Source organism: Homo sapiens, chromosome 6, assembly GCF_000001405.40.
Source record: "Homo sapiens chromosome 6, GRCh38.p14 Primary Assembly".
In the NCBI taxonomy this organism is placed as follows: domain Eukaryota; kingdom Metazoa; phylum Chordata; class Mammalia; order Primates; family Hominidae; genus Homo; species Homo sapiens.
In genome coordinates, this window is record NC_000006.12 from 161,854,146 (window position 1) to 161,877,036 (window position 22,891).

General features: G+C 38.4%; 1 protein-coding gene across 6 annotated transcripts in view; it reads right to left on the reverse strand.

Annotated features, from left to right (window-relative positions):
- The window catches only part of PRKN (parkin RBR E3 ubiquitin protein ligase), a 1,380,350-nt gene that overhangs the window by 506,729 nt on the left and 850,730 nt on the right, over positions 1-22,891 (reverse strand). The window lies entirely within an intron of this gene.

The window sequence follows — 22,891 nt, forward strand, 5'->3', positions numbered from 1 at the left end:
CCAGGAAGCCAAGGCAGGAGAATCGCTTGAACCTGAGAGGTGGAAGTTGCAGTGAGCCGAGATCACGCTGTTGCATTCTAGCCTGGGTGACAGAGCAAGATTCCATATCAAAAACAAACATACAAACAAACAAAAAACAAACCACTAAAAATTAAATGAAAATTAAGATTAAAAAATATTAAAAATAAAAAATAACAGAAAAAAATTAACTGAAAATTCGAAATGCATATGTGATGAAATGTTAGGCAGGAAGAATCAGCAGGAGGGACAACCGCCAAAAATGAAAGCTGCAAAAAGTAATTTTTTCTGTCTATTCAACCCACAATCATCACAGGCTATATTTGAAAAGTAGGTAGGTGTACTTACCTACATATAGCTGTTTGTAGGTTATATTTGAAAAGTAGGTAAGGTGTACTTACCTACATATAACTGCACTTACATACAGTTATACATATACCTACATCTAATGTAGTTATGGTTTTTTAAGAGAGTAAAGAATAAAATGGAAGACTACCATTACTGACAGTCTTCTAAAAGGCAGTCACCATAGCATGATTAATTTATTCCTGGTGTTCTCTTGGTCCTCACATACTTGATTCTCTTGAAACCAGTGAAAAACTCGCATGTCTTACTGCTAGATCTAGAAAAGTGGTTCTCGGCCGGGCGCGGTGGCTCATGCCTGTAATCCCAGCAGTCTGGGAGGCCGAGGCGGGTGGATCATGAGGTTAGGAGTTCAAGACAAGCCTGGCCAACACAGTGAAACACTGTCTCTACCAAAAATATAAAAATTCGCTGGGCAGGGTGGTGTGTGCCTGTAGTCCCAGCTACTGAGGAGGCTGAGGCAGGAGAATTCCTTGAACCCAGGAGGTGGAGGTTGCAGTGAGCCGAGATCATGCCACTGCACTCCAGCTTGGGCAACAGAGTGAGACTTCATCTCAAAAAAAAAAAAAAAAGAAAAAAAAAAAGAAAAAGAAAAGTGGTTCTCACAATGCACACCTTGCACCAGAACCACCTGGAGAACTTTGTAAAAATGCAGCTGCTTGCTCACCACCCCCAGAACCTCTTTCTGCGATGATCAGGGTGGGGTTTTGGGCACTGATATTTGTAAGATCTGCATCAAGTGATTCTAACATGCTGCCAGTTAAGAAACACTGGTTAACAAGGAGACACATATGAAACCTCATATATCAGACATCTAACCTACCCTTATTTCTTTTATTCTCAAATCTCCATCTCAGCTTTCTTCTTCATTTAGAATTTGGATATAAACCGTAACTATTAAAATTGACTGAATATATCTAAAAATCATTGATTCATTTACTTATTGCACACATACATAATCCACCATTCATCTGATGAGATCACAGCATTTAGAAGAGTACTCCAAACACAGGCTGCTAAATCCTCATCTGTTGATTGGGTCTTTAAAACATTACTATTGTTCACTTTCATACTGACAACAATGTTATGCTATAGGGTAAGCTCAAATTTAATTTTCTTTCTTTACGCTGTTCTTTATTGTATTTTTTCCATTAAAATAATATTTGACAGATAATCCTTATACCTGTTGCTTCAAATAATAAAAATAACCTAACTTATTTTATGAGACTAATATCTTGTTACCCAACTGGATAAGAACAATGTAAGAAAAGAAAATTACAGGCCAATTTTACATAAGGCTATAGATATAAAAATCCTTCGTAAATATTATCTAACATAAGAAAGTGTACAGTTAAAAAAGCAGAATCAAGCAGGGTTCATCCCAAGGATTTAAGAATAGTTTAACATCAGAAAATCTATGTATGTAGTTCATCAGGTTAACAGACTAGAGGAGAAACTTTTCATGCTACTTAGATGCTAGGAAAGCATGAGTCCAAGCACAGGGTCTCTGTCTCTCTGCCTCAATAATTCTCCAGATTACGATCAAAGATCTGCTAGGTGCGGTGGCTCACGCCTGTAAACCCAGCACTTTGGGAGGCCGAGGTGGGCAGATCACCTGAGGTCAGGAGTTCAAGACCAGCCTGGTCAACACGGTGAAACCCAGTCTCTACTAAAAATACAAAAATTAGCCAGGCATGAGGGCGGGCACCTGTAATCCCAGCTGCTCGGGAAGCTGAGGCAGGAGAATCATTTGAACCCGGGAGGCGGAGGTTGCAGCGAGCCGAGATTGCGCCACTGCACTCCAGCCTGGTCAATGAGAGTGAAATGCCATCTCAAAATAAATAAATAAATAAATAAATAAGATTGAAAATGAACTGCTTCTTCTACAGAGCTTCTGTAGGATGAAAAAAAGGCGCTGATATATGCTTTCTGTAATTTGACTCAATGGGTTTTTGAATCCTTCATATAAATTTATAACATCATATTTCATTTATTAGAAGGTACATATACTGTTTTTTTAGTAGCACATTTTTACCATAAATGGTGACTGTAATCGATAAAACAGAGTATTCAATATATTTCTACAAATGTGTATTCCCTTCTCCCCAGAGAACATCATAGTATAAGGTGATCTCCAGTTTTCTTCTGATTCTATGATTTAAAAATCATCCCTGTTCTGAAGCTCTTAAGTATTTTGTTTCTTTTAGGTGCATTGGAACACCAAAATCACTCATCTGTTTCTTTATTCTTGCTTCCCGCTACTCAAGAACATAAAATAAAAGCTCTCAAGTACTAAAATACTGGGCTTTATATAAACTAGAGTTTATATAAATACTGAAAAATATTTCTTCCTAGAGGTCAGACTGTCTTCAGGGTCATGGCTAACATAAGCATTTGCTTAGATAAAAAGTTGACATTTTTTTCTGTAAAGAATCAGAGAGTAGTCCTGGCACAGTACTTTGGGAGGCTGAGGCAGGTGGATCACCTGAGGTCAGGAGTTCAAGACCAGCCTGGCCAACGTGGTAAAACCCCATCTCTACAAAAATACAAAAATTAGCTGGGCATGATGGTGGGTGCCTGTAATCCCAGCTACTCGGGAGGCTGAGGCAGGTGAATCGCTTGAGCCCGGGAGGCAGAAGTTGCAGTGAGCCAAGATCGAACCACGGAACTCCAGCCTGGGCGACAGAGTGAGACTCCGCCTCAAAAAATAAGAAGAATCAGAGAGTAAGTGTTTTGGCTTTGTAAACCATACATCCTCTATCAGAACGGCTCAACTCTACCACTGCGGTGTGAAAGCAGCCACAGACAATGCATATGAGTAGGGTTGCATTTCAATACAACTTTACTTACAAAACAGGTGGTGGGCTGCATTTGGTGCATGGATCCTAGTTTGCTGACACCTGGCTTAGATGCAGTGCACCCACTGAGGAACAGGTGTGTCCTACTCTGAAAGCAGCATGAGCTAGTCTGACTACTTATTTCAAATCAATACTATATTTTTTAAATGGCCCACATTTTCAATCTAGCAAATCTACATTGGGGTATGTGTATGGGTGTGCCCATATGTCTGTATCTGTTAAATGTATCAGTTTGCTTTTAAAATGTTGAGACACAGCTCACATAAGCAGAATATCAGTTCAAAGCAGTTCTGGCCAACTCAGTTTAAAAAATAACAACATTGGTGTGTTACTAATACTACCATTTCTATACGTAGCATGATTTCTCCTCTCTGGTTTAATAACAGTCATCCAAGTGTGACTTCAAGTAATGATCACTTCCAGTGAGCTCGAGTTTACTGCTAAGGTGTGAGGTTGGAAAGAGGAAGACACAACTTCATGGAGATCAAATCACTCATGACCTTAACAGCCAAATAAGTATTAAATGGCTGCAAGGTAACAGGTAGGCAAGGTTTGTTGTAGCATCCAATTATCACGTTGGTGCAAAGACACTCAGTAGACAACAAGTATCTAATGGCCAAGGAGCTGAAACTTATGAATTGGCTGTTTAAAAAATATATTTGCCATAATTCCTTCTCACACCTAAGTTTCCCAAAAGGAATGCATAAAGCAGGTACTAATAATGGAACAAAAATAATAAAGTGCTTGCCAGGGTAGTTGATTCCTTTTGAAAACTGATCACAAGTAAGAGATTTTAGTTACAGCTTTCTTTTGCTTCAATGATTTGCTAAGAATCCATAAGGATAACCTATTCAGATACTATTATCACATGAGACATGATATGTGAAGCAAAAACTGTTACGGGAATTTCTGCTTGCATGTACACTGGCTGTTAGGTTACAGAATAGAAATAGGATTCCTCTGCATATTTAACATTGGTTCTCCATTTGTAGCCGGACAACCAGATAGTACTGATTTCAAAGTCACTGTTAAAAACTCTAAAAACTTAGATTTCGGTAACATGTCATCACATTGCACGAAAACTGGACCTGCCACTAGGCTTGGAGAAGCTCTGATGTGCTATAAACAGCCCTAACCATCAAGATGGTAAAGGCTAGTGTGACCCAGAGACTTCTGCTCTCTGAATACCCACCCCCACCTTCACCTATTCCCTTTATAAATGCTAACAGAGCCCGGGAACTTTCTGTTCCAGAGTGAGCCTGCAACAGCATTCTCTTGGGTGAAATGCTCTTCCCGTTGGCGGTGAGAATCCTTCCTCCTTATTCTAACCCATGCTCCCCACAGAGGAGGAGGAACCCTGAGCTTCTCTTAGGGACCATGGCAGAGGGTTGGAGGCATGGAGGCAGCTCTGCATGGCCTTTTAATGCTTAGTATGCTCAGGGTGCCGCCTTTCAATTAACTAGCACAGCTGTACTTTTTTTTTTTTTTTTTTTTGAGACAGAGGCTCGCTCTTGTTGCCTAGGCTGGAGCACAGTGGCGTGATCTTGGCTCACTGCAACCTCCGTCTCCTGGGTTCAAGCGATTCTCCTATTCTCCTGCCTCGGCCTCCCGAGTAGCTGGGATTACAGGTGCCCACCAACATACCCAGCTAATTTTTGTATTTTTATTAGAGATGGGGTTTCACCATGTTGGCCAGGCTGGTCTCGAACTCCTGACCTCAAGTGATCCACCACCTCGGCCTTCCAAAGTGCTGGGATTACAGGCATAAGCCACCACACAAGGCCACAGCGATACTTTTTGACTAAGTAAGGCTTCCGTAAGAGTTTTCACACACATGCCCCAAATCCTGGATTATATGAGACAAAAATAAATAGGCCACGTGTGCTAATTGCGTACCTCTCTCTTCTCACATTTCGGTTTTCTAGAAATGAGAACGCAGGCCAGACGCGGTGACTGACGCCTGTAATCCCAGCACTTTGGGAGGCCAAGGCGGGTGGATCACAAGGTCAGGAGATCGAGACCATCCTGGCCAACATGCTGAAACTCCATCTCTACTAAAAATACAAAAATAAGCTGGGCATGGTGGCGCATGCCTGTATGCCTGTAATCTCAGCTACTCGGGAGGATGTGGCAGAAGAATTGCTTGAATCAGGGAGTTGGAGGTTTCAGTGAGTTGAGATCATGCCAGTGTACTCCAGCCTGGGTGACAGAGTGAGACTCTCTCTCAAAAAAAAAAAAAAAAAAAGAGAAAGAGCATTTCTTGTATGTCTTGTGACAAGAGTTAACAAAAACAGTCCTGCTTCTTAACTGTTGGTGACATTTGTAAAGGTCCCATGGTTATGCTTATTCAGTGGGATTCCGTCTTCTTGCATGTCTAATGGTGTTAGAAGGCCTGAAACTATGCCTAAAACTATGGTTTTATCCCAGAGAGAAAAATAAATTCATATCAAGAAAAATACTAAGATTTATATATAAAGCAACAATAATGGCAATAATAATTCTATGGTGTAATTCCCCTGAGAAAAACTGAACGGAACAATGGTTAATCTTAAAATATTCTACAGTAGAGCTCAGGACTTAGTATAATTGCCTGCTACTAGTCTCGTGATAACAGTCGAAGCTAGTTTTGTGGAGGGTTTTTTTGACACTTCAAAATTATCATGTTGTCTTCAAGGTCACAAATCAAAGTCTCATCTATTAGTGTATAATAGTAAGTTTACAGTTTTAAAATATTTTATCATTAAGAAAATATTAACTGCAAATTTAAAAAAAGTACTAAGTGGAAGTAAGCGAAAAGACAGATATTGTGATGAAAAGAAAGACCTTCTTTCCCTGCCTTTTTGAGTGTATTGATTCATTCATTTAACTGATACTTGTTGAGTGTCTCCTTTGTTGTGGTCCTTCTGTGAAGCACCTCCATTCAACAGACCCTTTCTTTGGGTAAGTGTGTATAAGTTTCAACAAGGGAAATCCATGTATGCATGCAATTGTAGAGACTAGGACACTTGGTGATAAAGGACTTGAAAAGGAAATTAATATCCCACTTAAATCTTCTTTTTCAACATCAGATTTTACAATATTTGCGATCTCGCACTCACTTTTTCTAAAACAACTCATTGGACACCGTTGCCTCATCACAGCCCTAAAACAGAACTCCCTCTTTCGGTCAGTAACACCATCATCTTCCTAGTTTTAAAACCTTGGAGTCTGTTTTTTTTCTTGTAAATTTGTTGAAGTTCCTTGTAGATTCTGGATATTAGACTTTTGTCAGGTGGGTAGATTGCAAAAATTATCTCCCATTCTGTAGGTTGCCTGTTCACTCTGATTATAGTTTCTTGTGCTGTGCAGAAGCTCTTTAGTTCAACCCCATCAAAAGAGGACAAAGGATATGAAGAGACACTTCTCAAAAGAAGACATTTATGTGACCAACAAACGTATAAACAAAAGCTCATCATCACTGGTCATTAGAGAAATGCAAATCAAAACCACAATGAGATACCATCTTACACCAGTCAGAATGGCGATTATTAAAAAGTCAGGAAACAACAGATGCTGGCAAAGCTGTGGAGAAAAAGGAATGCTCTTACACTGTTGGTGGGAGTGTAAATTAGTTCAGCCATTGTGGAAGACAGTGTGGCGATTCCTCAATCATCTAGAACCAGAAATACCATTTGACCTGGTAATCCCATTACTGGGTATATGCCCAAAGGATTATAAATCATTCTACTATAAAGACACATGCACACGTACGTTTATTGCAGCAGTATTTACAATAGCAAAGAACCATCCCAAATGCCCATCAATGATAGACTGGTTAAAGAAAATGTGGCACATATACACCATGGAATACTATGCAGCCATAAAAAAGGATGAGTTTGTGTCCTTTGCAGGGACATGGATGAAACTGGAAAGCCATCATTCTCAGCAAACTAACACAGGAACAGAAAACCAAACAATGCATGTTCTCACTCATAAATGGGAGTTGAACAATGAGAACACATGGACACAGGGAGGGGAACTTCACACACCAGGGCCTGTTGGGCAATGGGGGGTAAAGGCAGGGAGAGCATTAGAACAAATACGTAATGCATGTGGGGCTTATAACCTAGATGATGGGTTGAGGGGTGCAGCAAACCACCATGGCAAATGTATACCTATGTAACAAACCTGCACGTTCTGCACATGTATCCCAGAACTTAAAAGTAAAATTTTTTTAAAAAGTATAAACATTCAAAAAAAAAAAAAAAAACCTTAGAGTCGTCAGTTGCACCCCTTTTTCTTCTCCCTCATATGCAGATAATCCCCAAATCCTACCAACTGTCCCTTGAAATGTCTCACAATCTGTTTTTTCCATTCAACTAAGATATAAATGTGAGGTATCTTTCAAAAACCTGATAGTAATTGAAAAATATTCTAAGAACTTCCACTTGAGCTGATATTGAAGCTGGGTGACTAGATTTGTTTCCTGTCACTTCCTCAACTAATGATCACAAACTTGCTGCCTTAATATAACAGAAATTTATCTCCTATCAAGGGGAGGCCAGAAGTCTAACACGACTGTGCTTGCTCTGAAGAGTCTATGGGAGAATATATTCTTTGCCTCTTTCAGTTTCTGGTGGCTGCCCTGGCATTCCTGGATTTGGGCCACATCACTGCAATCTTTGCCTCTGTCTTCATATCTTCTCTTCTAAGGACATTTGTTATTGGATTTAGGGCCCACCCAGATAATCCAGGATGACTGACTCAAATCAAGAGCCTTAATTTATCTGCAAAGACGCTTTTTCCACATATGGTCATATTCACAGGTTCCAAGGATGCAGACACATGATTTTGGAAGCCACTATTCAACCCACTACAGTGAATTAGTTCCTCCCTTTCCCTGAAATGAATGCACAAGTCTCCTAGCCTTTTTTGAGTCAGGCTTGTCGGGGATTACTCGAATAGGAAATTCCCTAAATTGTTCTAGCCTTGGCAACTCTAAGTGGGAGCAGAGAGAGTAAGGCTGGTGGTGAAAGCAGTTTTCCTTCCTACTGCAACTTTATTCACCTCTGCATTGGCTGAGCTTAACATAATGGAAGGTTAAATACAGAAATAAATGAATGAATAAGTGAATAGGCACAGGAATGAAGGAGTAATTAATGAATGGACTAAAGACCAAAGGGATCTCAAGAGTATAAATTCCCATGAGCTCCCCTACTGTGACCCCAGCCTGGAGTAACGGGGTAAAAAAAAAAGATTCCTTTTGGTCTACTGAGCCTGTGGAAGAGAGAGGAATGAACCACCATGGCTGTGAGGTCCAGCTACAAATGGGAGGTTTGTCCCTTAGAATCAAAGGCTGGTGGCAGCTTCCCTTCCATTCAGAGGCGAGAAGGAGTCCAAGCCATTCAGAGGTAAGAAGGAGTCCAAGTCACACAGAAGCAACGAAGACCCGTCTATCTCTGAAGTGGTCAGAAGTAAAAGCTATTTCCTGTTTGGTTTGTTTTTTTAAGAGAAAGACTATGATGTCAGAGGTACAAGACACCATGATCATATTGCAACAGTCCTAAGATGGTGACACATGTCAGACAATCAGATCTTCTCAAATTCTTAAAATTATTATCCAGGATGAACTGATTTTCACCTAAACATAAAGATCAAGAAGAATCAAGCTGCTTTTGTGTTCATATGAACAACAAAATGTCTCAAAATAAGCAAAACCTCAATTGAAAGAGAGGCTTGAGATTACAACGTGAAAACTGTTTCTTGCCATTATTCTGTTTTGGGATATTCTTCTCTATAATGCATTTATCACTAAAGAACATTCAATTTTTGAGACAGAAGAATAACATAAAAGATTATTCCACAAGATAAAGAAAATGCCACTTTGACACAGACCTCTCCTTTTCTGTTTGTCATTCCCTTGACTTTGTAAAAAAGGAAAACCATGTTCCTTGGATTTATTAAAAAAAAAAAGGGAAAAAACATTCTGTGTTGTTGTGTATACGTTTTTAAATTATCAATCTGCTCAGGACTGACAAACATGAAAAGAATTAATTTAATGCCAAAAAATCTGAGAAATAATTTATGTTTAACAAGTATGCCCCCTTATTCCTGTGTGTGTACTGTACAACAGTGTCCTACTCTTAAGAAAAGTGAGTTTAGAAAGATATTTGCTCATGTGGTTTTTCAAAATTGAGTATGACATTTCCTGGAAGTGATGGTGAAGGTAATCTCTGTATGACAATTAACCCAGTCATCAGCACCATACACCTGGGCAAGGGGCTCAAGAATGAAAATCTCTACACTTCCCGCCTCTACTCCAGGTGGAAAGTCACAGGGTGGGAGGGCAGGCTTGAGATCCAAGAGAAGACTTTTAACACTTTAAGGTATATAGGCATAGCTCATAGCTGTCATGGGCTTGGTTCCAGACCACCATAATAAAGGGAATACTGCAATAAAGTGAGTCCCATGAATGTTTTGGTTTCCCAGTGCATATAAAAGCCATGTTTATACTATGCCATAGTCATATTAAGTGTACAAGAGCATTATGTCTCAAAAAAGTACATACCTTAATTTAAAACTATTTTATTGCTAAAAATGCTAATGATCATCTGAGCATTCAGCAGCTTTTAATTTTTTGCTGGTAGAGGGTCTTGCCTCAACGCTGATGGCTGCTGACTGACCAGGGCAGTGGTTGCTGAAGATTGGGGTGACTATAGTGGTTCCATACAATAAAACGAAGACAAAGTTGGCCCCATCATTTGACTCCTCCTTTCATGAAAGATTTCTCTGTAGCATATGGTGCTATTTGATTATATTTTACTCACGGTAGAATTTTTTCAAAATTGGAGTCAATCCTCTCAAACCCTGCTGCTGCCTCATCAACTAAGTGTATGTAATATTCTAAATCCTTTGTTGTCATCTCAACAATGTTCACACCATCTTCACCAGGAGTAGATTCCATCTCAAGAAGCCACTTTCTTTGTTCACCCATAAGATGCGATTCCTCACCTGTTCAAGTTTGATTATGAGATTACAGCAATTCAGTCACATCTTCAGGCTCCACTTCTCATGCTATTTCTCTTGCTATTTCCACCATATCTGCAGTCACTTCCTCCACTGAAGTCTTGAAGCTCTGAAAGTCATCCATGAGGGTTGAAACCAACTTTTTCAAAGCTCCTGTTAATGTTGATATTTTGTCTTTCACCCATGAATCATGAATCGTTTTAATGACATCTAGAATGGTGAATTCTTTCCAAAAGGTGTTTTTGTTTGTTTGTTTGTTTTTGTTTTAGTTTGTTTTGTTTTTTTGAGACAGAATCTCGCACTGTTGCCTGGGCTGGAGTGCAGTGGCATGATCTCAACTCACTGCAACCTCCACGTCCCAAGTTCAAGTGATTCTCCTGCCCTAGCCTCCTGAGTAGCTGGGATTACAGTCGCCCACCACACCTGGCTAATTTTTTCGTATTTTTAGTAGAGACGGGGTTTCACTATGTTGGCCAGAGTGGTCTCAAACTCCTGACCTTGTGATCCGCCTGCCCTGGCCTCACAAAGTGCTGGGATTACAGGCGTGAACCATCGTGCCCGGCCTCCAAAAGGTTTTCAATGTATTTTGCCCAGATCCGTCAGAGGAATCACTTTGAAAATGTGTTTTTAAATTGCAATTCTTAGAAGTCAAAAAAACTTCTTGATCCATGGGCTGCAGAATGGGTGTTGTGTCAGCAGGGATGAAAACAACATTCATGTCCTTGTACATCTCCATCAGAGCGCTTGGGTGACCAGGTACATTCTCAGTGAGTAGTTATATTTTGAAAGGAACCCTTCTTTCTGAGCAGTAGTTTTCAACAATGGGCTTAAAACATTGAGTAAACCATGGTGTAAACAGATGTACTGTAATCCCGACTTTGTTGTTCCCTTTATAGAGCACAGGCAGAGTCAACGTGGCCTAATTCTTAAGGGTCTTAGGATTTTAATGGTAAATGAGCATTTGCTCCCACTTAAAGTCACCAGCTGCATTAGCCCCTAACAAGGGAGTCAGCCTATCCTTGGAAGCTTTGAAGCCAGGAATCGATTTTTTTTTATCCAACTATGAAAGTCCTAGATGGCATCTTTTTACAACAGAAGGCTGTTTCATCTGCACTGACAATCTATTGTTTAATGTAGCCAGATACATCAAACATTTAAGCTAGATCTTCTGGATAACTTGCTGCTTCACCTTGAACTTTCATACGATGTAGACGGCTTCTTTCCTTAAATCTCATGAACCAACCTCTGCTAACTTCAAACTTTTCTCATGCAACTTTCTCACCTCTCTCAGCCTTCACAGAATTGAAGAGAGTTAGGGCCTTGCTCTGGATTAGGTTTTGGCTTAAGGGAGTGTTGTGGCTGGTTTGATCTATCCAGACCAGAGTTTTTCCATATCAGCGATAAGGCTGTTTCACTTTCTTAACATTCACGTGTTCACTGGAGTAGCACTTTTAATTTCCTTCAAGAGCTTTCACTTTGCATTCACAACTTGGATAACTTATTGGAGCAAGAGGCCTAGTTTTTGGCCTATCTCAGCTTTCAACGTCTTCCTCACTAAGCTTAATCATCTCTAACTTCTGATTTGAAGTAAGATGCAATTTTCCTTTCACTTAAACACTTTGAGCCCATTGTAAGGTTATTATTAATAATTGGTCTTATTTCAATATTGTTGTATCTCTGGGATTAGGGAGGCCCAAGGGTGGGGAGAGAGATGTGGTGATGGGCGGTCACTGGAGCAGTTGGAACACACACATTTATCAAGTACGTTCACAATCTTATTTGGGCATGGTTTTTGGTACTGCAAACAATTGCAACAGTAACCTCAAAGATCACTGATCACAGGTCACCATAACAGATATAATAATAATGAAAAAGTTAAATATTGTGAAAATTACCAAAATGTTGGCCAGGCGCAGTGACTCACACCTGTAATCCCAGCACTTTGGGAGGCCAAGGCGGGTGGATCACGAGGTCAGGAGATTGAGACCATCCTGGCCAACACAGTGAAACCCTGTCTCTACTAAAAATACAAAAAATTAGCCGGGCGTGGTGGCGCATGCCTGTAGTCCCAGCTACTTGGGAGGCTGAGGCAGGAGAATGACATGAACCCGGGAGGCGGAGCTTGCAGTGAGCTGAGATCGCACCACTGCACTCTAGCCTGGGCGACAGAGTAATACTCTGTTTAAAAAAAGAAAAGAAAAGAAAAGAAAATTACCAAAATGTAACAGAGACACACAAATGAGCACAGGCTGCTGGAGAAATGGCACTGATGGAGTGGCTCAGGGCAGGGTTGCCACAAACCTTCAATCTGTAAAAATCACAATATCTGCCAAGTGCGATACGATAGACGGCAATAAAACCAGGTGTGCCTGGACAATTTTTATAGTGATTGCTGTGAGTAGGTGTGGGAGGATGTGGGGTAAGGACAGGGAGGAGCTGGTGGAAACAAACCTTTTAAAGTAGCTCAGGCTCTGGGAAAGGCCTCAGTTTGTTTTCTCTCTAGAGTTGGCTCTGGCTGAAGAGGATGGATGGGGTGATGAGGAAAGCTTAATTTAAATAGAGTCCCACCTGGACTGGGATCACTGCTGGCCTGAGTTCTCTATTAGCTGGTGACTCAAGCATAATTAGTGAGGGGCCCACATGATGAGCCTCGATTTTGATCCAGGTCTGAACCATGCATTATTTTAGTATCTGGACAAGGAATACATGTTTTTTTCATCAGTCTTTATTTTATTTGGATCTGTTCTATATTGCGAGTTGATTTTGTCTTTCCAACTGAGATTGGAAACCCTTAGAATTAACTGTTTTTTACCTTAATGTGGTATTATCATTTTTTCTGTAAAACATGTAGAAAGGGCCAGATAGTAAATAATTTAGCATGTGAGGTCCATATATTCCCTTCTGCAACTACTCAACTTCATGCTGTTGTGACAACATTTTATTTATAGGCACTGGAAATTGAATTTCATATAATTTTCATGTATCACAAAATATTATTCTTTAAACAAAGAATTGCAACCTTGTAAAAATGTAAAATACATTCTTAGCTCATGCCCTGTACAACAGCAGACTGCTGGCCACATTTAGTCAGAGGGCCTCAGTGTGCTGACCTCTCACCTTGTTTTATTCTAAATTATGGAAAAGCAGATATATAAAAACATGAAAAGATGATGATGAAAATAGAAAAAAGGTGGTAATGATGATGTCTGTTTAGATTAATTACATAAGCAGATAAATACTTGCCATAGTAAAGAGCTATTTGGCATCATAATGAGTGACACAAAAGCAAGAGAACTGGGTTTTATTCTAACTTTATCTGTCAACTATTAGCAATCATGGGAAAAATCTTTCATTTATTTATTTATTTATTTATTTATTTATTTATTTTTGAGACAGAGTCTCACTCTGTCACCCAGGCTGGAGTGCAGCGGCACAATCTTGGCTCAGTGAAACCTCCACCTCCCAGGTTCAAGCGATTCTCCTGCCTCAGCCTCCCGAGTAGCTGGGATTACAGGCATGCACCACCATGCCTGGCTAATTTTTGTATTTTTAGTAGAGACGAGGTTTCTCCATGTTGGCCATTCTGGTCTTGAACTCCTGACCTCAGGTGATCCACCACCCTCGGCCTCCCAAAGTGCTGGGATTACAGGGGTGAGCCATTGCGCCTGGCCAAATCTTTTAATTTCTTTAATCCCAATCTTTTACTTCTAAGATAATGGAAATGGATTATAATGTTTCTAAGATCATTTTCACTATTGAGATTATTCCATCCTTGTTTACAACTGCTATCTTCTCCCGTGTATAACTAGCTACCAATTTACTATTGTTTTACGTATAGTATACACAATTATAAGACGCAAGATCCTAAAATAAGAGGTGATTGTTACAATTGAAAATGAATACTTTGGGCCCGGCGCAGTGGCTCACACCTGTAATCCCAGCACTTTGGGAGGCCGAGGCTGGTGGATCACTCGAAGCTAGGAGTTCAAGACCAGCCTGGCTAACGTGGCAAAACCCCGTCTCTACTAAAAATACAAAAAAATTAGCTGGGCATGGTGGTGCATGCTTGTAATCCCAGTTACCCAGGAGGCTGAGGCAGGAGAATCACTTAAACCCAGGAGGCAGAGGTTGCAGTGAGCTGAGATCACACCACTGCACTCCAACCTAGGTGAGAGAGTGAGACTCTGTCTCTAAAACAAAACAAAACAAACAAAAGGAAATTAATACTTTGCTCTTAATTTGTCCTTAAAGCACAGGCTGTTTGTGGAGAAGCACAATCTTTAGGCCTCTTAATGATTTGTAGCATATCATCACTAAGCAGACATTTTGAAAAGGCTAAGAAAGATGAAATCAAAGTAGAATATAAATTATACATCAGATAAGTCCCATTATGAGGAGGGAAAAAAATATTTGGATGCACATGGCCTACCTCTTGCTGTCATCAAAAGCACTTGTCAGGATGAGGCCCTTGCAGCAGGTACTAGAGTTCTACTGATTTAGACTTCAATGGCTGGTGTGTTGTATTTTATAGTGTAAAATAATTACAATTACTTTAAAAATTGTTATGGTCCAGCACAGGCCCTATAAATGGCATAATAAATAGTCTATAAATAATAATGTGAACCTCACTGGAACTAAACCACATTTTCCCATTTTTCTAAAGCAGAACATGCTAAGAAATAGAAGTTATTAAAAATTAAAGGGGATAGCTGGGCGCGATGGCTTATGCCTGTTATCCCAGCACTTTGGGAGGCCGAGGCGGGTGGATCACCTGAGGTCAGGAGTTAAAGACCAGCCTGGCCAACATGACGAAACCCCATGTCTGCTAAAAGTACAAAAATCAGTTGAGCGTGGTGGCGTGCACCTGTAATCCCAGCTACTCATGAGTCTGAGGCAGGAGAATTGCTGGAACTCAGGAGGCAGTGGCTGCAGTGAGCCAAGATCACACCACTGCACTCCAGCCTGAGCGACAGAGCAAGACTCCATCTCAAATAAAAAATAAAAATAAAATAAAATAAAATAAAAGAAAGGCGATGGTCAACCCATACACATGCTTTTAAGAGCCCTGTGCTATGTTTTGAGCTGATAAATACGAGGCCAAGAAGAAATTAACCTCACAATGATTATATTTTTTAGTATAATGGTTTCTATTTAACTTGAGCATACTTAAAACGAATGCATCACCTAGAAGCCACATCACCCCGCTTCAACTCAGACTCTGCTGTTTCTGTCAAGAGAATCACATTTCTTCCACTCACAACACAAACATGCTGTCCTTGACCCACCCTCTGCGTCGTCTTAATCACCAAGCCTTGTGGATCCCTCCTTTGAAAGAGCTCTTCAGCTGTCTTCTCCCTTTTGTTTTCCTGCCAACTTATTCATTGTCTTCTTCCCAGGGCAGACCACAGTTCTGCCACATACAGGAGACCCAAAATTGTCTATGAAAGGGAGAAGTGAAGGTAGTCCTCAGATAGTTTATGTACCAGGACAAACTAGCTACATGTGGGAAGATAATCTACACAGGTTTAATTCAGCTGATGGGTTGATTTCAGAAGATTTCAGCCCATTTTATTATTTTGTTTCTTCCTTTTTTACTTAAAAAACAAACATATATTGAGCATTTATTATGTACCAACAAAACAAAATAAAATACCAATCATCTATGTATTGAGGGTAGAGGATAGAAAAGTACATTTTCTCCCATTCAAGTACTAACCAGGGCCGACCTTGCTTAGCTTCCAAGATCAGAGGAGATCAGGCACGTTCAGGGTGGTATGGTCATAGACAGAGAAGTACGTTTCCTAATATTAAGATATTGGGCTGTTCTCAGAGTGCCTACAATTGGGAAGAAAAGTGGTACAAAGAAAATGACAAAATCAGAAGCCCCCCCACAGCTCAGCACATACTCTATTACCAAATTAGTGATACGGATGTCAAGTGCTGTGGGTCATGAAGAAAAGGGGATGGCTGTGTTTCAATGTCCTTTAACTTTTCATGCACTCAGACTTGGTCTAATTCAGGCCACACAGAACAAAGCTAGCTGAATCTTGCTGTCTCCCACATTCTCAAATCAAACACACCTTACATAATTATCTCATGTTCTTCTTTTTAGAATTATGTATGCCACTGTTTCCTTTTGTTGGCATGAGTCAGAGTACATTTAACACGACTTATTTACTTCTCTACTAAAAAAAATTTTTAATGTTTCATGATCAGAAGGCTATCAATATTTTATATTAATCACTGAGTAAATATATCAGTAGAGCTATTTAAAAATCCTGCTGGCCTGTGAAGGAAAGGCAATACGAGAGAAATGATTAATTATTAACTGATAAGGATTAATTACTGACCATATATTATGTGCCAGCGACAGTGCCAACTGTTTTCATGGACCTCCTCTTCTTTAATTCTTGCAATGGACATTGGTGATAGGTAGGTCTCCTTGTTATGAAGAATGTTTTTAGAGGTAACTAGAGAACTCTGGGGAGTTAGGCTGGGAATCATGGAATAGTTCTTTTGCCTAAATGAGACATGGGGAAAAATACTGAAGAGAGATTTTCTTGGGGGATGAAATTAGAGATAGGGTAATCATCTACTCTTCAGAGTCAGAAGATAGATGCAGAAGACAGAGAAGGGGAGAGGAGAGAGGAGGAGGAGGATGAGGAGAGAGAGAGAGAAAATAAGAGAGAGAAAATAAGAATAAGAGGGAAAATAAGATAGATACTTTGTAGCAATTTAAACGTATAGAGATTATTTCTAGAGTTTTCAGTAAGCTATGAGTTTTCCTGGGAGCTGTTTTAATCATTTCTTTTTTGGAAAATACACCATCACAGAATGTTTCTTATTTTACATCATTAGACGTATGATGGTATCTCTTCCAGAGACATGGCCCCCAAAAGTCTGTGATAGAGAAAAACCATATGGTACTTTTGGTGCAGTCATTTAAGGAACATGAAGAAAGAGCCCTACTTTGTATTAATTTGGGGTCTACCTGGAAAGGCCCTTCAGAGAGAAACTTGTGTTACTATTGCCTCAGCCACCCTAAAGCCATGCACACACTTAGAACTCAGGGTGCAGTTTTTAGACATTATTCCAAATGAGGATGTTGCACTCTACTTTAAAAAGTATAATAAAAAGTGTTATATTTTACAATCCTAGACTCTACAAAGAATGATAGGATATTCTCAGGGATCGCTTTGCAGCAGAGGGAACTGGACCAGCCAGAGCCCTCTTCCTTGCAGTTGGACAGCACAAAGCTCCCTGTACACACTTTTTAAAACATAAGTTGTACATGTGAAGGTATTTGGTGGCTATCATATGAAGTTTAAGATGTGTGGCTATTTTTCCCTTCCATGGATATGGATAGGAAATCAAACATGGGTTTTAAGCATGTATTTCTCAGCTGGTGTAGTCTGTGTTCAGAATACTTAACATATCTGTGCTATAAAACTCCCGTGTATATTTGCATATGGGACACACCACAGGCACGAGGACGTGAACGGCTCCAGCATTCACTGACCGTCTTCTGTGTGCCAAACCTCAGTGGGGCACTTTAATAATCCTCTCATTTAATTTTCACAGAAACCTATAAAATAGGTATCTGAATCATTACATATTCAAATATTTCAGTGACTCTTCACTGAGCAGCGACTTTTGCCAGGTGTTCTTGCAGGGCTCACAGCAGACGCATTTCAGCCCTATTTAGCTTACATTCTAGTGGGAGAGAGAATAAATAGACAAACAAGTGCGATAAGATGCTATGGAAGGGTAAGTGCATGAGGAACTACACAGCAGGATTGGGGACAGAGAACGTCAGTGGGAGGACGCAGCAGCTGAGTGGGGGTCCTATTTTTCAGAATAAGGTCAGGAGATGTCTCCTGCACAGATTCGAAAAGGTGAGAAGATGAGCCATAAGCCATTGAGTAACTTGACTAAAATCACCCTGAGAATGCATTTATATATTTAAACAGGGCAGCATTTAATACCTCTAGGGATTATGTAGGACACTTGTATTGCTTTATCTTTCTCAAATCTTCTCCATTGCATCAAGTATCCAATCTGTTCATAAATTTGTCTTAATTAATGCCCTCATATCAGACATACCTCATAGCCAGCATCAGGCGCTCCTGTCCTCAACTCCATGTGGGCCCTGATCAACCCTGGCGCTTTGCCTCCTGTTCTGGGCTTTCCTGGTCACACAGAGGGCATTTACTGATACCCACAATGCTTAATCCATGGTCCCTCATATTAAAGCCATCTGCTGGGCTTAGCAGCAGCCAGCTCCATAAAGTGTCCTAGTTTCCCTGCTTCACTCCCCGGCCCTCCCGCCTCTGTCCTGGGACTAGGACTGTAACGGAGTAAGAGCACCTGAGCCCTCTGCCTCAGGCTCTGCTTCCTGGAGAGCCCAGGCTCTTATATTATATTTCAAAATCCCAGAGGAGAAGGAGACCTGTCTTCATTTTTCATCTCTCCCAGTGTCACAAATAGAGTTATTCTCCTGAGGGTTAACCAGAAGTTATTCCAATTTTGGGTCCAATTGTGAACTGATGGCTGTAAGACATACAGTAATGACTTTTTTTTTTTTTCCAAAAAACCTAGATGCGAGCTAGTGTGTGGCTGGTTGTCAAGCAGAAAACTGGCTGATAATAAGGGAGGGAGCTGGGAGCTTGGAACAGGGGATCGATGAAATAAATCGGCTGAAAATGCAGAATGAAATAAAGGCCCGTTCTCAATGAATCTGTGCTGAGTCCCCCAAACCTCCACTCACACCCCAGTTGCAGTCAGTGTGTGTCTCTTCCTTCGAAGCACGCGTCAGTCTCAGGGACTCCATCTCTGGAGCCTTTCCCGGGCCTGCCTCTCCCGGTCCTTCCCTGTAGAAACGGTCTCTCCTACCCCAGACACTCATTCTCGCTCCATGTTTGGAACATGCTTACTCTGAAGTTAGATATCCTGGGGCATAAGTTATACTGTGGCGTGTTTGGAAACTATGCAAGCATGAAATATACACAGTCACGAGACAGAAGAGGAGGCACGAAAAACCACCCCGACACCCAGCTTTTCCTGACGGGAACTAAATACAATGCGTATCGGACTCGAGAAATTCCGAGGAATGGAAAGGAAAATCGCCGGTAGCATCCACCGCGCATCAGACACGAGTCACACTGACAGCCAGAAAAAAATGGAAATCCCCTTCCTAGAAAGAAAAGAACTATTTTATATCCCAAACTACAAAATTAAAACAACAACAACAACAAAACAAGTCTGCCAGTTGAGGCGTTTGATTGTAGAAGGCAGGCCACTGTGATAAGCATTTGACTCTCGTCAAAAAAAATTCCTGTTTCCCTTGAAATCTTTGCCCTATTTCCCCTACTATTAACTTGGCCATAGTCACTTTCCTCTAAGCTTTCAAAATTTCCTAGAGGCTTGCGATTATTTTATATATCTAAACAATATATTTAAGACTTTTAAAAGACCTGTTTTTTGTTTATATATAAATAAAAATTATATACTATATATAAAATATATAAATATATAAAATATATAATATATATAAAAGAAATATATATTATATGTAAAATATAATATATAAAATATATATGTAAAATATAATATATAAAATATATATTATATGTAAAATATATATAAAATATATATTATATGTAAAATATAATATATAATATATATTATATGTAAAATATAATATATAATATATATTATATGTAAAATATAATATATAATATATATTATATGTAAAATATAATATATATTATATATAATATATAATATATATTATATATAATATATAATATATATTATATGTAAAATATAATATATATTATATATAATATATAATATATAATATATATTATATGTAAAATATATAATATATATTATATATTATATATTACATGTAAAATATTATATATAAAATATATATTACATGTAAAATATTATATATAAAATATATATTATATGTAAAATATTATATATAAAATATATATTATATGTAAAATATTATATATAAAATATATATTATATGTAAAATATTATATATAAAATATATATTATATGTAAAATATATTATATGTAAAATATATATTATATGTAAAATATATTATATGTAAAATATATATTATATGTAAAATATATATTATGTAAAATATATATTATATATAAAATATATATTATGTAAAATATATATTGTATGTAAAATATATATTACATATAATATGTGTAATATATAAATATATATTACATATAAAATGTATAATAAAATATATAATATATAAAATGTACAATATATATAAAATATATAATATATAAAATGTACAATATATAAAATGTACTATATATAAAATATATAATATATATAAAATATATAATATATAAAATGTATAATAAATAAAATGTATAAGATATATAAAATGTATAATATATAAAATGTATAATATATAAAATATATAAAATATATATAAAATGTAAAATATAAAATATATAATATATAATATATAATATATATTATAAAATATAAAATATAAAATATAATATAATATATTATAGGTACTTTATATATAATATATAATTTATTATATTATATACTTTATATATAATATATTATATATTATATATAAAGTATATAATATAATAAATTATATATTATATATAAAGTATATACATTATATATAAAGTATATATGATATATTATATATAAAGTATATATATTATATATAAAGTATATATTATATATAATATATATAAAAATATACAATACATATATAATATAAAATATATGTGTGTGTGTATATATGTATACATTTTTTTCTGAGACAGAGTCTCACTCTGTTTCCCAGGCTAGAGTGGAGTGGCTTGATCTCTGCTGACTGCAACCTCCTCCTCCTGGGTTCAAGTTATTCTCATGCCTCAGCCTCCCAGTAGCTGGGATTACATGTGCGAGCCATCACACCTGGCTAATTTTTGTATTTTTTGTAGAGACGGGGTTTCATCATGTTGGGCAGGCTGGTCACAACTCCTGACCCCACGTTATCTGCCTGCCTCGGCCTCCCAAAGTGCTGGGATTACAGGCGTGAGCCACTGTGCCTGGCCTGTTTATGAATATATTCTCATCAGCACCTGTCAACTGCTGAAACTATGGAAAATGGGCTAGGAGCTCTGCTCAACACTGCGGCTATGGCAATAAGAGGTATCATGGCAGTCCTCACAAATCTCCCTCTTGTTGAATGGGGATCTGATGAGAGACTAACATTTAGAAGAGGCTCTGTCCGTTTTGACACAGGAGGAACTTTTAGTATTTCACGTGGGACCCCAAGGCCACAATGGCATGGAAATGACTGTCAGCATTCACCTAACTGCTCTGAGGAAATGTGCCCGTGGTGACATAATTAGTAAAGTGAGACACAGGATCTTGACCTCGAACTCATGTCCTATGATCCTCCCCTCACTGGCATCCCACTCATAAGTACTGGGGCCATGCAGGATGTTACCAGATGTTCCATGGGTGCCGTTATGTAACCCATGACTTTGACCTTCACTCAACACTGTAGGACCTGAGACTTACATTCCCAGGTAGTGAAAGACTCTCAGAAGGCAGGAGTATCAGAGGATGTGCTGAAACCTACATATCTTCAGCCATTGCTTTTCCTGTTCATTAGCTACCAAATATAAATGGTTTAATATTTTTGTGCTGAAAGACACATATCTTATGTCATTGCTTTTCCTGTCTCATTAGTTACCAAACAAATATAAATGTTTTAACATTTTTGCTTTCTTTTAAGCCATATTGATTATTACACTGCTTCTTCTGGGTACTTAAACTATATTACTGAATATCTCCCATCATCCTTGATTTTGAGATTATTGTCTTTCCATTTTTTGTTTTTTGGATGCCAATAATTTTTTACTCATCGTTACTTTTCTGTTTTTGACACAGAGTCTTGCTATGTTGTCCAGACGGAAGTACAGTGGCACAATGACAGCTCACTGAAGCCTCGACCTTCTGGGCTTAAGCAATCCCTTCACCCCAGCCACCCAAGTAGTTGTGACTACAGGCGCATGCCGTCACACCCAGCTAATTTTTTAAATGTTTTGTAGAGACAAAGCCTCACTATGTTGCCCAGGCTGGTCTCAAACTCCTGAGCTCAAGTGATCCTTTCTCCTTCGCATTTCAAAGTGTTAGGATTACAGGCGTGAGCCACCATGCCCGGCTTTATTTTCACTTTTCTTATGAAAAAGTGTGTAGTGTCATCCAAGATTAATATATCCCTACATTAAGATCCTATTATTTTCAACATGTATGTGATTTTGAAAATATTCTTTTATTTTCTACTATTATTTTTTCTATTCTCCTATCACAGTTGGATGTTTAGAAGCCAGTATCTGTAGAATATTTTAAGTTTTATAGACTAATTGATCTCCTCAAACACTGATAAAGATCCCTCCCTCCTTCTTAAAAAATACCCACTGGAAACCATTGAAATCTTTCATATTCAATTCAAAATGTCAAGTCTATTAAAATTTAATTCTTATTGAAATATTTGATTTGCCATTTTTCAGAAGTATTCATACTTCTTGACTAGAACTGCTCATTTGCAATCTAGAGACCTATTCTGAGCATCAGGTCCTTTTGATAA